The sequence below is a fragment of the Homo sapiens genome, chromosome 11 (assembly GCF_000001405.40).
Source record: "Homo sapiens chromosome 11, GRCh38.p14 Primary Assembly".
Taxonomy (NCBI): domain Eukaryota; kingdom Metazoa; phylum Chordata; class Mammalia; order Primates; family Hominidae; genus Homo; species Homo sapiens.
The window spans coordinates 2,671,558-2,685,102 of record NC_000011.10 but is presented as its reverse complement, the minus strand read 5'-3'; the positions used below and the strand labels follow the sequence as shown (position 1 = coordinate 2,685,102).

At 46.2% G+C, this 13,545-nt stretch overlaps 1 protein-coding gene and 1 long non-coding RNA gene across 6 annotated transcripts in view; one reads left to right on the top strand and one right to left on the bottom strand.

Annotated features, from left to right (window-relative positions):
• KCNQ1 (potassium voltage-gated channel subfamily Q member 1) overlaps positions 1 to 13,545 on the bottom strand; it is a 404,098-nt gene that overhangs the window by 164,003 nt on the left and 226,550 nt on the right. The gene's annotated exons all lie outside the window — the stretch shown is intronic.
• Positions 1 to 13,545, top strand: part of KCNQ1OT1 (KCNQ1 opposite strand/antisense transcript 1) — a 91,667-nt gene that overhangs the window by 14,892 nt on the left and 63,230 nt on the right. The window contains exon 1 of the long non-coding RNA NR_002728.4: positions 1 to 13,545. This exon is cut by the window's left edge and continues 14,892 nt beyond it; it is cut by the window's right edge and continues 63,230 nt beyond it. This is a non-coding gene — a long non-coding RNA (KCNQ1 opposite strand/antisense transcript 1).

Sequence of the window (13,545 nt, the reverse complement as noted above, 5' to 3'; positions counted from 1 at the left end):
AAGGGCCCCTTCCCTGGAATCTGTAATTCTCACAGGCTGTCCCATACATTTTAAATCCAGGAAATGTGCTCACCCATGAGACAGGGATGGCAAGAAGATATGAATGAAAAGCAACCAGTCCGTAAAATTGGAAGCCATTTCACTCCTTACCAGGTACAAAGATAACATGCTGCATGGATCAGGGACACAAACTTACCTACCTTATGATGTAGTGAAAGAATCTAAAACTTTTGTCTCAGCAGACTCCCTGGAGGAAGCCAATAACAGGAGGCCTTGACTAGGAGACCTCAAGCCTTGGAATGTGCCCAGACCAGTGGGGAGGGAAGGCTGGGAGGCAGTCCTCCCTTACCCCTTTTCTCCCAGGCAGACCTACCCTGGGTTCTCTCCAGGCCCCTCCGCCTGAGCAAGTGCTCAGTTGGCCACTAGCTCCCTGCACATCCAACAAGCCTTTCTTTCCTGTTCCTTCTTCAAGGAAGGCTTAGCCTCAAATCCAGGGCCACAGACAAAGGACAGTCACTCTCCTCTGCCAGAAAGTCATTTATGGGACATGGAGAAAGCATCAAATATATTGCTTTTCCAACACCTAACAGTGGAATAGGAGGAATAGAAGGAGAACTCAGCCAGAAAGTTCTGGAGCATAGTCTTTTTGCCAAAAGAACACGTTTTCAAATGAAAGAGGTGGTGCTGGGGCACTGAGGAATCAGGGGGATGGACCCCACTGGAGCTTGTCTCATGCTGGCAGCAAGTCCCAGGCCTCAAACACATACCTGGGCCACCTCAGGAGAGAGACTGCAGGGAAGAAATGAGTTGCAATGCTCCAGCCTAACCAACTCCCCTTTTGTTAATCCAATCCCAGAAGGTACTGGGTAGGGTCAGTTAACAGACAGCTGCCTGTCTCCTGGCAGAGTCTGACCAAGCCCCAGTGGGCGCTTCTCTTCCTAAGTCCTCTGGTGTACCCCATTCTTCAAGGGAAACGGTCCCCTTAAGAATCTATGTGAAAGGGTTCTGAAATTGCTGTACCAGTTAATGAATTATTTACTCTAAACAATGTCTTGATAAAGGGGGAGGATGAAGTTAGCTGATGTTGACTAAGGAGAGACGGAGTTGCCAAGGAAATTCTTCTAAATGAAAAAAAAAAAAAAGTAAAAGCAGTCAGCTGGTTTTGTCTGACTATGAAACGTGTCACAGAGCATGCACCTTTGGCCATCTTTTGCATTTATGATTTGGAAGAGAGATGTAGCAGTGAGTGTGGGGCCAGGGAGGGGAATCCAACAAAGCCATTCTGCAAGCTAGTGGCTGGGATTTTGGGGTATAGAGTAAGAGCAGCCAGCCTTAGAGGCCCATGTCATCTGGGCTGCCTCAGAGCTAAAGCTAGGTAACCAGAGGGAGTAAGGAAAGGCCTGAGTCCCAGGCTAGGCTTTTCACAGTTGTATTGAGATGGGAAAGTAAGGGATGTTCCTTGCAGCAGATGCAGGGCCCAGTTGTCTAGAGCAGTATTTGAAATGAGTTGGCATTTCAGGGCAGTGTTTGTGATGCCAGTCAGTAGGTAGGGGCTTCTACCTCTTTTTTAGAAATGTTTACTCTGAACTAAGCTCTATGCTTTAACAAGTTATGTTTTAATAGGAAAACTGTCATTGATGGAATCATATGTAATTCCTACATTTTTCCAGTTACCCATTCCTGGGGAAAGCTTAGCCATTGGACAAACCACCCAGAGCCCCAGGAACCTGCATTTGCAGACAGCAGTGGCAGGCACAGTGGCCTAGTGTTGAGCGGGGGAAACCTGGCCTCTATGTGTCTGGTTTTGCAAACTAAAACGCCATTGCCCATACTCAGGCTGACAGGTTCTGGAGGTGCCATGGACTCCTGCTCTGTATCTCACCTCTAGTTCCATCACAATGCATGAGCTGTCAGTGGGAGCCTTTTAATGCAGATGCTAATACCCATTCCTAATGCTAGCCCATCCCCACACCCTCCTGAGTTGGTGCGATATATCCTGGGAACAAGAAAATCTGAAGGCTCCTGGTCCTCAGGCTAGCAAGAGCCTTGCCTGTAAGAAGTGGGAGAAGGTCACCTCTCTCAGGAGGCAGAACTAAGGCTGCACAGCACAAGGGAGATGTCTGAATGCACAGTCTGGGTGGCAGAAGGACTCCTGTCCTTTCTTCCACACAGACCTGAGCACCTCTCCAGGTGCCACCATTTTCTGTCTGGGAACATCTGCTATCCCCAAGCCTCAGTTTCCTGGTCTACAAAACTGAGATGGTCTCTTCTATACAAGGCCCCAGGAGGATCACTGCAAGTCACTGCATTTCATGGTGCCCAGATTTCCCTGCATTTCTAGAATGTCAACAGAGATGAGTGGGCTCAAGGGGAAGAGATTCTTTATGACTAGAGATATTCTGGTCAACTTTGGACCCCAGCTTCTATGGACAATAGCATGTGGACATGAGCCCTGGGGAAGCAGGGATGACTGAGCCTGAAGAAGAGCTCTCAAGCCTTACACTCTCCAGACCAGCCTTGGGTTGCCTGAACCCCAGCATAGCCTTATGGAACCCCTGCCAGGGTCCTAGCACCTGGTTTGACCTGGGCACAAGTACTCACTCACTCACTCACTCACTCACTCACTCGTCAAACATTCACTGAGGGTCCGTGACAGGCTCCATATGGATTAAGCACTGAAGATAAAACACTGAATAGAAACAGCCAGCCTATACCCTCATGCTCCTTGAATGTGATAGAAGGAGCCAGCCAGTAAACCCTTTACCACAAATAAACACACAGTTACACATTAAGAATGGGAGGGGAGGTATGTGATTTTTTACAGCCCAGTCTTAAGCTTTAGAAATTGGCTCCTCTGAGGAAGGGACATTTCAGCTAAGAACCACAGGATAAGACAGTCCTGGCCTGGGGAAGGGGAGAGAAGGTCAGGAGAGAGCTTGATATGTTTAATACTGAAAGAATATTTGATGAGCTGGGACATCTCCTGCAGATCCACGGCTCCCTAGCTTTGTGACCCTGGGCCCTAGACTCAATCCCTCAACCCTTAGGAGATTATCTATAAAACAGGAGTGATAATATTCTTGTGTTAAAAGCTGCTGTGAGGATTAGTGAAATGATGTCTATATTTGCCTGGCAAACAGGAAGTGTAAGTAGTAGTATCATTTGAAGATTATTCTTCAGCCTAAACGTGTGTTCATTATGGCCGGTGTGTTTTCTCCCCACCTAGATGGTAGTGCTGGGCCTCCTTTGGAGTACCTTGATGTTTGGGGAGCATGGATGATATGACCATAACCTGAGAAGGCAGGGACTGTACCCATTCTGGTCCTCCCAGGTCCCAGGGCCCCCACAGTGCCCTGGTGTGTGATCAGTGCCCACAATACTGAATAGAGGAACAGACACATGGGAAGCAACGGCAGCCTGGTCTTTAAGGGTGAGGGAGCACCTTCTCCTGAGAGAGGGAGAGATAGGTTGGGGGAGGTTGGGTGGGGGTGGGGAGAGCGAGTGAGCAAGCAAGCTAGAAACTTCCTGAAAAGGGAAGTTACTCTAGAAAAGGGTAAGTTCCTTCCAGGCATCATGGGCTGGCTTAACCTGGACCAGTTTGACTTTACTAAGTCCCATTTCTCATCTAGGGAGCCTGAGGCCATTAAGGTTATCTGGTCCCAAAATCCCCTAGAGCTGTCACAGGGATCCCCATTCTTTGCCTTTAGTCACCCCAGCCCCAAGAGCCATCCTCCACATGGAGTGAGCAGGGAGCTACAAGGAAAAGACGGTCACAGTTGGAGAGAGACAGAGAACCAGGTGGGCTGGTAGGACAGGAAGGTATAGGGAGAAAGTGAAGCTCTCTCCTGGGGAGGCAGGAATACTCTCCTGCTTCCTTCTACCCACTCTTCATAGAACACAAACACTGCAAAAATGACTTTTTCCAAACCCTCTTAGCATTCAGAAGTAGAATTGCTATGTAAGAATTTTTTCATAGGTGCTTTTTTGGGGGGCATCTATTTAAAAAATAACCACATCATTAGTGAAATCTTCCAAAGTCTCTTTTTGGAGCCCACATTTCACTAATGTCCACATCTGAGGAGGCTTTCATAATAAAAGAACACATACCTATTTCACCTATGATGGTCAGTGCAATCTTGAAAACACTAGTAAATAGTGTCCATCAGCTTTAAAAATACAAACCCAAATTGGGTCATACCAAAATGCAAGGATACACACAATAACCTGGGTGAATCTTCAGGGAATTGTGCTGAGTGAAAAGAGCCGATCCCAAAAAGGTGATTTGCTATGTGGTTCCATTTATATAATTTTCTTGGAATGATAAAGAAATGAAGAATAGGTTAGTAGTTGTCAGGGGCTAAGGACAGGGTAGGGTGGGAGGGAATTGGGGGTAGCTATAAAAGGGGGACATGAGGGATTCTTGAAGAGTTAGAAATGTCCTGTAGTGAGACTATCAATGCAATATCCTGGTCAGAATATTGTACTACAGTTTTGCAAGATGTTACTATCGGGGGAGACTAGGTAAAGGAGTATGTAAGATTTCTCTGTGTTGTTTCTTAGAACTGCATGAGAAATGTACAATTATCTCAAAATAAAAATTTATTTTAAAAAATGCCCAAATTAAAAAAAAATCAGTAGTCCTCCTAAAAATACCCAGAAATGAATTTTAGAATGTCCAAAATCCATACAAAGATCTAAAAAAATATGGAAGGATGTTGCAATGGATTTGAACATGTGGGTAAACTGCTTCTATTTGTGGCTGGAAAGACTTTTTTTTTGAGGTGGGGAAGGCAATTCTTCATCAGTTAATCTAAATTGAATGAAGTTTCAATAACAAATGCCAATGGGATATGAATATACACACAGATAGACAACTTTTTTTTTTTTTTTTTTTTTAATTAGGCAAGCTGAGGCCAGGTGCATTGGCTCACGCCCGTAATCCCAGCACTTTAGGAGGCTGAGGCGGGCAGATCACTTGAGGTCAGGAGTTTGAGACCAGCCTGGCCAACATGGTGAAACCCTGTCTCTAATAAAAAAAAAAATTAGCCAGTCATGGTGGCAGATGTCTGTAGTCCCAGCTACTAGGGAGGCTAAGGCAGGAGAATTGCTTGAACCCAGGAGGTAGAGGTTGCAGTAAGCCGAGACTGTGCCACTGCATTCCCGCCTAGGTGACAAAGTGAGACTCTGCCTCAAAAAAAATAAAAATAAAAAAAAAATTAGGCGTGCTAGTTCTAAGTTTATATGAAAAAAATGCATGTCCTATAAAATTCAGAAGTAGCAGCAGTCTGGCCCCTTGTGCTCCTCTAGCCCTCAACTGGCCTAACAGGCCCTAGTGTGCAGCAGGGACTATTTTCCCATCATCACTGTCCACAGCATCTGGACAAGAATACAGAGAACGGCTGATTTAAAAAAAATCTAATCTGGGATCCTATGCATCCTAAATAATCTTATGAGGATGCACTTGTATTTTTTCTGATGCTGATACTATTCATTCCAACTCGCCTCCCCATCAGCTTTGTCAGGCACTGTGAATTGCATGGTACACATGATTACAATGGATGGAATGGCCATCATGAGGTATAGCAATACATTTAAGTAACACTGTGTCACTACTATAGGACAGGCACTTTTCTGCATACTTTATATTATTAATTTGTGTAATCCTCCTAACAACCCTCTGAGGAAGGTACTCTTATGATTCCCATTTTACAAATAAAGAAACTGAGACTAAGTGACTCACTCAAGGTGTAGCAGGTAGAAAGTAGTGGAATTAGGATATGAGTTCAGACTCCAGACCCTGTTATTAGCCCCTGTCTTTGGCTATGGATTAGTAAAGGAGAGCACAGCCAAGGGTGGGACAGGCAGCTGTAGTCCTCTGGACCAGCTTCACATGGATGGGGCTGCATTGTTACAGGTGGCCTAACTCAGACATGGAAACTGAGTCGCTGCTGCCCAACTCATGCCATGAAACCATTTTGGCCTGCACAGCTTATAACAGCACTCTAGCTCTAGCTATGACACTTTATGGTGTTAGTGGGTTTTTTTGGTGGTTGGTATGGAGGAGGGGCTGGGCTACAAGTTTTAGATTATGTTTCTTATTGCGGGTTTTTAAAAATTCTTGAATTAGGCCTATTTGCTCTTTTGTTCTCTATTGAGTTAGCAAATTCAGTTTTTCCAAGATGCCCTGAAAGTATGATCATACATGTATACGAAATGGTCCTTGGGTCCAGCTGGCAACTCCTGTGCACCCCCGACCTGGATTCTGCCTTCCTTGAAGTGAGCCTTGGAAGAAACAAGTGCTCATGCTCCCTGACATTATTAGCTGCCACGATGAAGCCTCAGTCCCAAACACCCCAGCTTCCTGTCTAACTCAAGAGCTAATCCTGTGTTTAAATCTTAAGAGTGTTTAGATCTTAGGCCATGCCATGAATTCCCCTGGTTGACTGCATTTGTGAAAATGAGCTTCCCATTATTGGCTCTTAAGTAATGGAGATGAGGGGGAGTCCTGCTACACAGATAAGTGCATCATAAAGTTACATAATTAAAATAACTGAGCTCTGGCCTATCAACAGGCCCATCAGCAGTCCAGAATAGAGTCTAGAAATGGACACAAATTAAATGAGAGTTTGAAATATGATAAAGGTAGCAGTTGAAATTAGTAGAGAGATGATGATGTACTCAAATAAATAGTGTTGGACAACTGGACAAATATATGGGAAACCAAATTGGATTTAATTACTCTGTCAAAATCCCGATAAAGCAAGGATTTAAATGTAAAAAATGAAATAAAAAATGATAGAAGAAAACATGGAAGAATTTATTAAAACAATTTCAGGATGAGAGGTTATTTCAGAATTTAAGATAAGGACCTCAAACCATAAAAGACTGACACAGCTGACTATGTGAAATTAAAAAAATTCTGCCACCAGAAAAATATTATAGAAAAAGCCAAAACACCTAAGGAAAATGAGGATAAAATATTTTCAATGAATATGACAAAGCAAGTTTCTACAAATCAGTAAGACAAGGTATTTTACAAAGTCCAAAGGGTATGAAGAAATAGTTCACAAGAAAGAAAAACAAATGATTTTAAGCATTTGGAAAGATAAAAACCTCATTTCCAACAAAAGAAATGTAAATTAAAGCTCCAGTGTACCATTTCTCATCTATGAAATGAATGAAGATAAAAACCTGAGTATACACTTGGTAAGGGTGGGGGAAGAAAGTGCATTTGTGCAGTCAAAGTGATGTAAATGGTACAGCCCTTATTTGGCAGTATCTATCACAACATAAATGAACATTTTAATCCTGCTGGAAATGGGGGGAAAGGGAGGATCTCTTAAAGTAAATCCACTGAAAACGGAGACCAAAATTTTACAATAGAGATATTTGATTGGGAAGTTAATTTGAAAAATAACAGTAGTTAAAATATTATTTTATCTCATATGCAATAACAGTTGTTAGAGTTACAATTATGTACACGTTTTAGAAAAAAACAAATCCAGAGGGGATTTTGGTTTGTCTTTTGTAAAGCATTATATGGTAACATCTGAGGGCATCTTTTATACTTGGCAGAGGATGTTGGCAGCACTTCCACAGAGAGGATCATTTTTTGTAGAAGTATGGCATGGTTTCACTGCTTGACCAAGAGGCCACCTGCATCAATTATCATCTCCCCTGCTGTCCTCTGAAATGCTTATCTAGGCATCGATCTTGGTTTCCTCTTCAACTGATTAACTAACTGGTCTACTCTGCCCAGTCTCTATTTGAGAAATCATTTGACATCATTTTCTTTAACTTGATGAAATCTCCTATTTTGACAAGATTTACAGTTCCTCTTTATAAGTTCCTCTTTACTTTGTGTGTGCTTTATATTGTCTTTGGTTGACAAGAGACAGCCAAAGAGGTCAGTCAGCAGAGATACAAGTAGGGATAAGATGGATAGGGAGAAACAACAGTGTTCAATAGGGAGGGATGTTTCAGGGAAACTAATTTCATAAGTGGTCATTTCAGTAGTGAATATATTTGAATGGTTAATGGCTGCTGTTTTTTAGCTGCCCTACATATCCATCAACAGAGGATCTGTTCCATAAATCATGGCACAATGAAACTCTGCAGCTGTTAATGAAAAGGAGATTTGCTAGATGTCTTAATACAGATCCATCTCCAGAACATACCAGTGTCTTCCTTTTAAGTGGTGCACACTGGGGCTGAACACTTACTAAGAAATGAAAGGGCTCCCCAGTCAAAGCTGACAGGTGTCATTACAACATGACCCCTGTGGTAGATCCCAGCACAATACACTGGCCATCACTCCATTCTCTTCAAATGTCCTAGGGTTGCTTCATACAGCAGACCATCGTACCCAAAGCCACTATGCATATGACTTGGTTATCTCCTGCCAGGCTGTAGTCCAGTTAGTGCTCCCTTGGAAATACTCAAGACCTTAATGAACTATCTATCTGTGAATCTGTGAAGCTACCCATTTCTTAGAGGCCTCTTTGGAGAGCTGGCTGTTGAATACCCAGTATGATGGTCCTTAGCCTTCTTAGACCTTTCCTGTACCACTACCTCTATGCCTTTTGCCAAGTCCAAGTGTTCACCAGAAATGGAACTGATGCCAGAAAGACTACAGCTAACAATCTGAGCAGAACAGTGAGCATGTCCTATCTGGGAAAAGCCCAGCCCATTGGGCTAAATCTCTAGCTGAACACAGAGACTATGCTCCTTCCAATTATACTGGAAGCCCAACCATGAGAAAACAGCACTTCAACTACACTGTTCAGAGCCATCACCTGTTCACACGTGTGTCTGTATACATGTAAACACACATTTTGCAATAAAAATGCTTCTCAGATGTACTGCACCATAATAAATCAGCATTGTATGTACAGCTCAAAAAGAAGTATGGCATACCTATGGAAGAAGTCAAAGGCAAAGTGTAGAAAAATACATACAGTATGCTACCATTTGTATAAAAAGGAGCCGTATCTACTAAGTACATGCACACACAGACACACGTATATTTGTTTATATAAAATACGTCTGGAAAGATGCAATAGGAAAGTGTTGAGTGGTAACCTTTAGGGAAGGAAACTTGGGAATTAGGGTTGGGTGGGGAGAGTGTTATTTTTCACCCCTTTTGTACTCTGAATTGGTTTTACCATGTGTGTAAAGACTGTTGTATGATTTTTGTAGCACAACCCTTGAATACATAAAGCACGATTGGCTCCCCAGAAGGCAGGTGTTGGCCAGGCAGTGGATGCACGGTAGGGCAGTGTGCAGCCCTGCATGCACGTGGCTGGTATGCCCTGCGGGCAGCAGCTCCCCGCACACAGTGCTGTGAGTCTCTGGTTCATGTCACTCTGTGGAGCAGGGGCTGCTCCAGCACAAAGAGGTTTTTGACAGGGAAAGGCAGAGCCAGAGTCAGGGCAGGCCCTGGGCGGGCTCCTAGAGAGCCCAACCACCCTCTAATAAGGGGTGCTCTCCACCCTATCTGAGGAGCAATTGGGATCTCCTAGGAAGTGAAACTGTTACGTATGTCTTATTACAGAATTTCCAGTGGAGTGATTCTGGAAGAAATGTGTATGGCATGTTGTGACTGCTATGTCTCATGAAATATTTACGTTTTTATGTAACTTTTTTCCATTTTCAGATCATCTTTTATTTTAACGCAAAATGACAATATATTTTTCAATTAATTTGCCCAATATCTGTGTTTAAATGTTTTCTAATGCACACACGTGTTTTAAACTCATTAAAAAAATATGACTTAGATCCCATCCCACTTTCATGTTTTATATTGCCAAAACTCTGCTTTTGGGAGAGGTGAGTTATCTTCACTTCTGAAACAGTACTGCTTGGGAGCTGGTTTGGCCCTGGCTATTCTGGGGAAATGACACAATATTGACCTAGAGGGGCCCTAATCTTTCCCCGCTAGAGCACTACCTCTAATAGGGTGAAGGATGGGAGAAAGAGGCTAGTGAACCCACCTTCAGGTCTGTCCACTCAGGACATGCCCACACTAGCCTCTCCAGGGGCTCTGCCCTTGGCATCCCCGTCCCCCACCTGGGCTCTGGCAGAGAAGTCAGGCGGGAAGAAGCCGGCTGAGTGCCCGCCACTGTAAGAGGAAACGAAGAGAAACAGCTCCAGTCAGCCCCAGAAGCGAGGCCTGGAAAAACTCTGCAGCTGGAGCTAACACAAAGGACTTTTCAGACCCTGCAGCCAAGGTGCCCAGTGAGCTTTTTTTTTTTTTTTTTTTTTTTTTTTTAAAAAACAGCTATTAGGGTGACAAGCCTTTCCAAAGGCCAGCAGTTGGCGAGAGTTTCCAGGAAGCTGGTCTGGCACTGGGCTGGGATTGGAGCAACTTTAACGAGTTAAGTTCAGAAGGAAGGAGTCATCAGGAAAGGTTTAAGGTTCAACAAACTTTTCAAATTATTTTGCAAAAAGTTCTGGCTTTCCAATTCAAAGGCATGTTTCGCTGTGACTGTTTTAAGCCAGAGCCTATTTAAAAGGCAACACAACTAGCATGCTTCAGATTCACTCACTCGAGGTATTTGTCTAAATCCTCCGAATGGGCTTTGCAAGTGCCATCTAGTGCCTAGTAACACTGGGGCCATCTTACACATCTCGACAGGCAGCCCTCCTCCCCACGTGCCTCCCCCCAGCCTCTGTGGTCGTGTGCGCGCGGGCGCGCACACACACACGCACGCATGCACCTTCCCTAAGCAGGAAGCTGCTCTTTGCCAAGAGCGAATGGAATTCAGATTTCCAGAGGGTGTCCTTGGCCTCCAGCTCTACGGCTGCATGATGAAGAAAGGTCCTAGTGTGTGTGCCGGGGGCTGGGAGAGAGGGGCCTCCAGCTCTGCTCACATCTATCTGGGCCCCAAGAAAAACCCACAACTGGCTGTGCTCTCCCCAGCCACACCCAGCCTTGGTCACATTCCTTCCCTTCCTGAGCCCACACTGGGTGGCCCCGGCAAACCAGCTTCCACACCTCCCTCCCCACCGGCAGGGAGACCTAGCCCAAGCCCCCATGGGGCAGCCAGCAAGTACAAATGAGGGGCTGCACCCCAGGCCCAAAGAGCCAGAAAGCACGGAGGGCCCTCCCCCCACCCCACCCCCAATGCTGGGCATCCCCTTGTGGCTGCTGTCACTCATGGGGAAAGAGACACACTCCCTTGTCTAGCACCCGGTGAGCTGAGCTCCCATCCCTTCCTGTGCCTGCTTTCAGGAAGTCCCTCTTCATATCCAACCTTGACTCTCCTGGCTGTGGTGCTTGTGGGCCTGGGATTGAAGGGCCATCACTGCCCTTTGCACCAGAGCTTCCCAACATACCAGCAAGAAGGGACTGTACCCCTTCCCCTGTCCAGTCTGGGCCTTCCAAGCCCTGAGATTCAGCAACCTCAGGAATTAAACATTTATAGGAAAACACCTATGCAGACAAGGGACATGAGTCAGGGTGGTCATCAGCAGTAGCAAGGTGGGTAGGCTGGTCACGTTTAGCTTCTCTTTAGCCCAAGTAATAGGGTCTTCCACCTGCATGGCCAGGGAGGGGATAGGCTGAGAGCAATCTTTCTACAGGCTGTCAGCATCAACAAGTGGTTGTGATGAGCAGGAGTCTGTATGGCTTTTCAGGTGTTCCGGCTCAAGGAGGCCCAACACCAAGTTGGAACCTCCAGGCCTGGTGCCTAGGCAGAAGGTGGGCTAAACAAAGGCCAAGGGGAGCTCTGCTCTGTCACTTCCCTTTGTTTGCTAATGAGACTGTTTCCAAAAGCTGGCCTGGTAGCCTGTGGGATTGTTTCTCTCAAGATTTCTTCTAGGGGAGAAGGTGGCTGAGGCTTTGCAGTCTGCATCACCCAGTCCCCAGAATCTACAGGGGACTCAGCTTGCCTAGTCACAGTTCGGCTTTTGGCCTTGGCTCCAGGGCCCATTCTGATCCTCGTGCTTGGGTCAGGGATGGTCAGCACCCCTGCCCTGATGCTGCCTGCTGGGGTCTCCTGCTGAGTACCGTGAAGGCCTACTGTGGCCTGAGAAGCCAACTTCACTGTCCCTTTTGGCCAGCCCTAGACCCTATATTTGTTCAAGTAACACATTGATTCACTGGCTTCTCCTTTAGGCAAGGCCTGCAGGGGACTCAGCTGGGGTTCATGATTCCTTGCCACCTGTGGTGGGCCTGCATGGCCAGCCCAAGGCCTCAAGTGCCACATACTGCTCCCCTGACAGTCAGGTGGCTAGGGTATGACACTCAAGAAAATGCCCAGGCAGAACCCAGAGTTGGGGTCACTTGGTCCAGCCCTTCTGAAGGGGACTGGTTGGATCTGTTGCGGGGAGGAGACAGGCCATGCTGGACCAGCAAAAAAGCATAGAACTTGGAGTCTGGAACCTGACATCTGGCCTTGGCTCTGCCATCAGCTGGCTGTGTCCACTGGGCAAGGTCCTATCATATCTGGTCTCAGTGCTTCCATTTACCCAGAGTCCTTCCATCACCTGACACCTACAGGGATGCTTTCCCAATCAAAATTCAGGCCATGTGGTTTGATAAGGCCACCTTCCAATGTGGAAGACAGGCTGGTAATGGAGAGGCCTGGGAGCACAGAGCTCCTAGGCACTGCCATGGAATGTGGGGACCTTAGGGAAGGATATCTCAATTGAAGCTCTTCAGAGCCCCTGGGGTGGACTGTTCTGTACTCTCATCCCCTAACCCATACCAGCCTGAGCTCAATCATATCAGCCTGTGAAGGCTGCCCCACCACACTGCTTCTGCACCCACCACACCAGGCCCCCTTGAGCTCCCACCTGGAGCCCACACACCCAGCTGGTGGGGTTCGTGGGGCAGTTCAAAAAGAAAAGCAGAAAAAAGCATTTGAGTATTTTGGACTGGAAGGAATTCAATTTAACTTAACAAATCAGGACATGAACCTAAAGAAAACACTGAAAAACAAGCCCAACTTTGAAAGGCCCAAAGAGGGAGGATTAGGTGGGAGAAGAAAGGTCCCCTGTGGGCAGAAGACAGCTGCTCAGTCCAGACCAGGGACCAGGGGAGGATACTGGGCTTGAGTGCAGACCGGGCCAGGGTAGGGAGACAAGCCCAACATACACTCGAGGACTTGAAGTCAGGGGTGCTAGCTGACTTTTTAGCCCACTCTTTCTACCCCAGATACAGAGACTAGCTGCCTGAGGAAGCATAGCGGGGCCCACAGGCTGGCTGCCTGGTGCTGCCCACCTCCTCTCCAGGGCTTGGCTCCCTGGGGCAGAAGGCTCAGACCTATAACCACAGTGGGGTTGCAGGGATTTATTTGGGGGAAGAACCCTGACTGGGTCAGAATGATTATGTGCATGCATGTATGTGTATGTAGCTCCTTGTTCTCTGAAAAGCCTTGCCTACCACCCTACTTCCCAAGTACCCTCTATTGCCTTGCAAAGTCACCCCTGCTCTCTGCCTCAGTTTCCCCAGCAGGGCACCACAGGACACTGCTGTGGCAAGGTTTATACTTAGGGTGCAGTGCAGTCTGATCTTGTATAAATGCTCAGTGCCAAAGACTT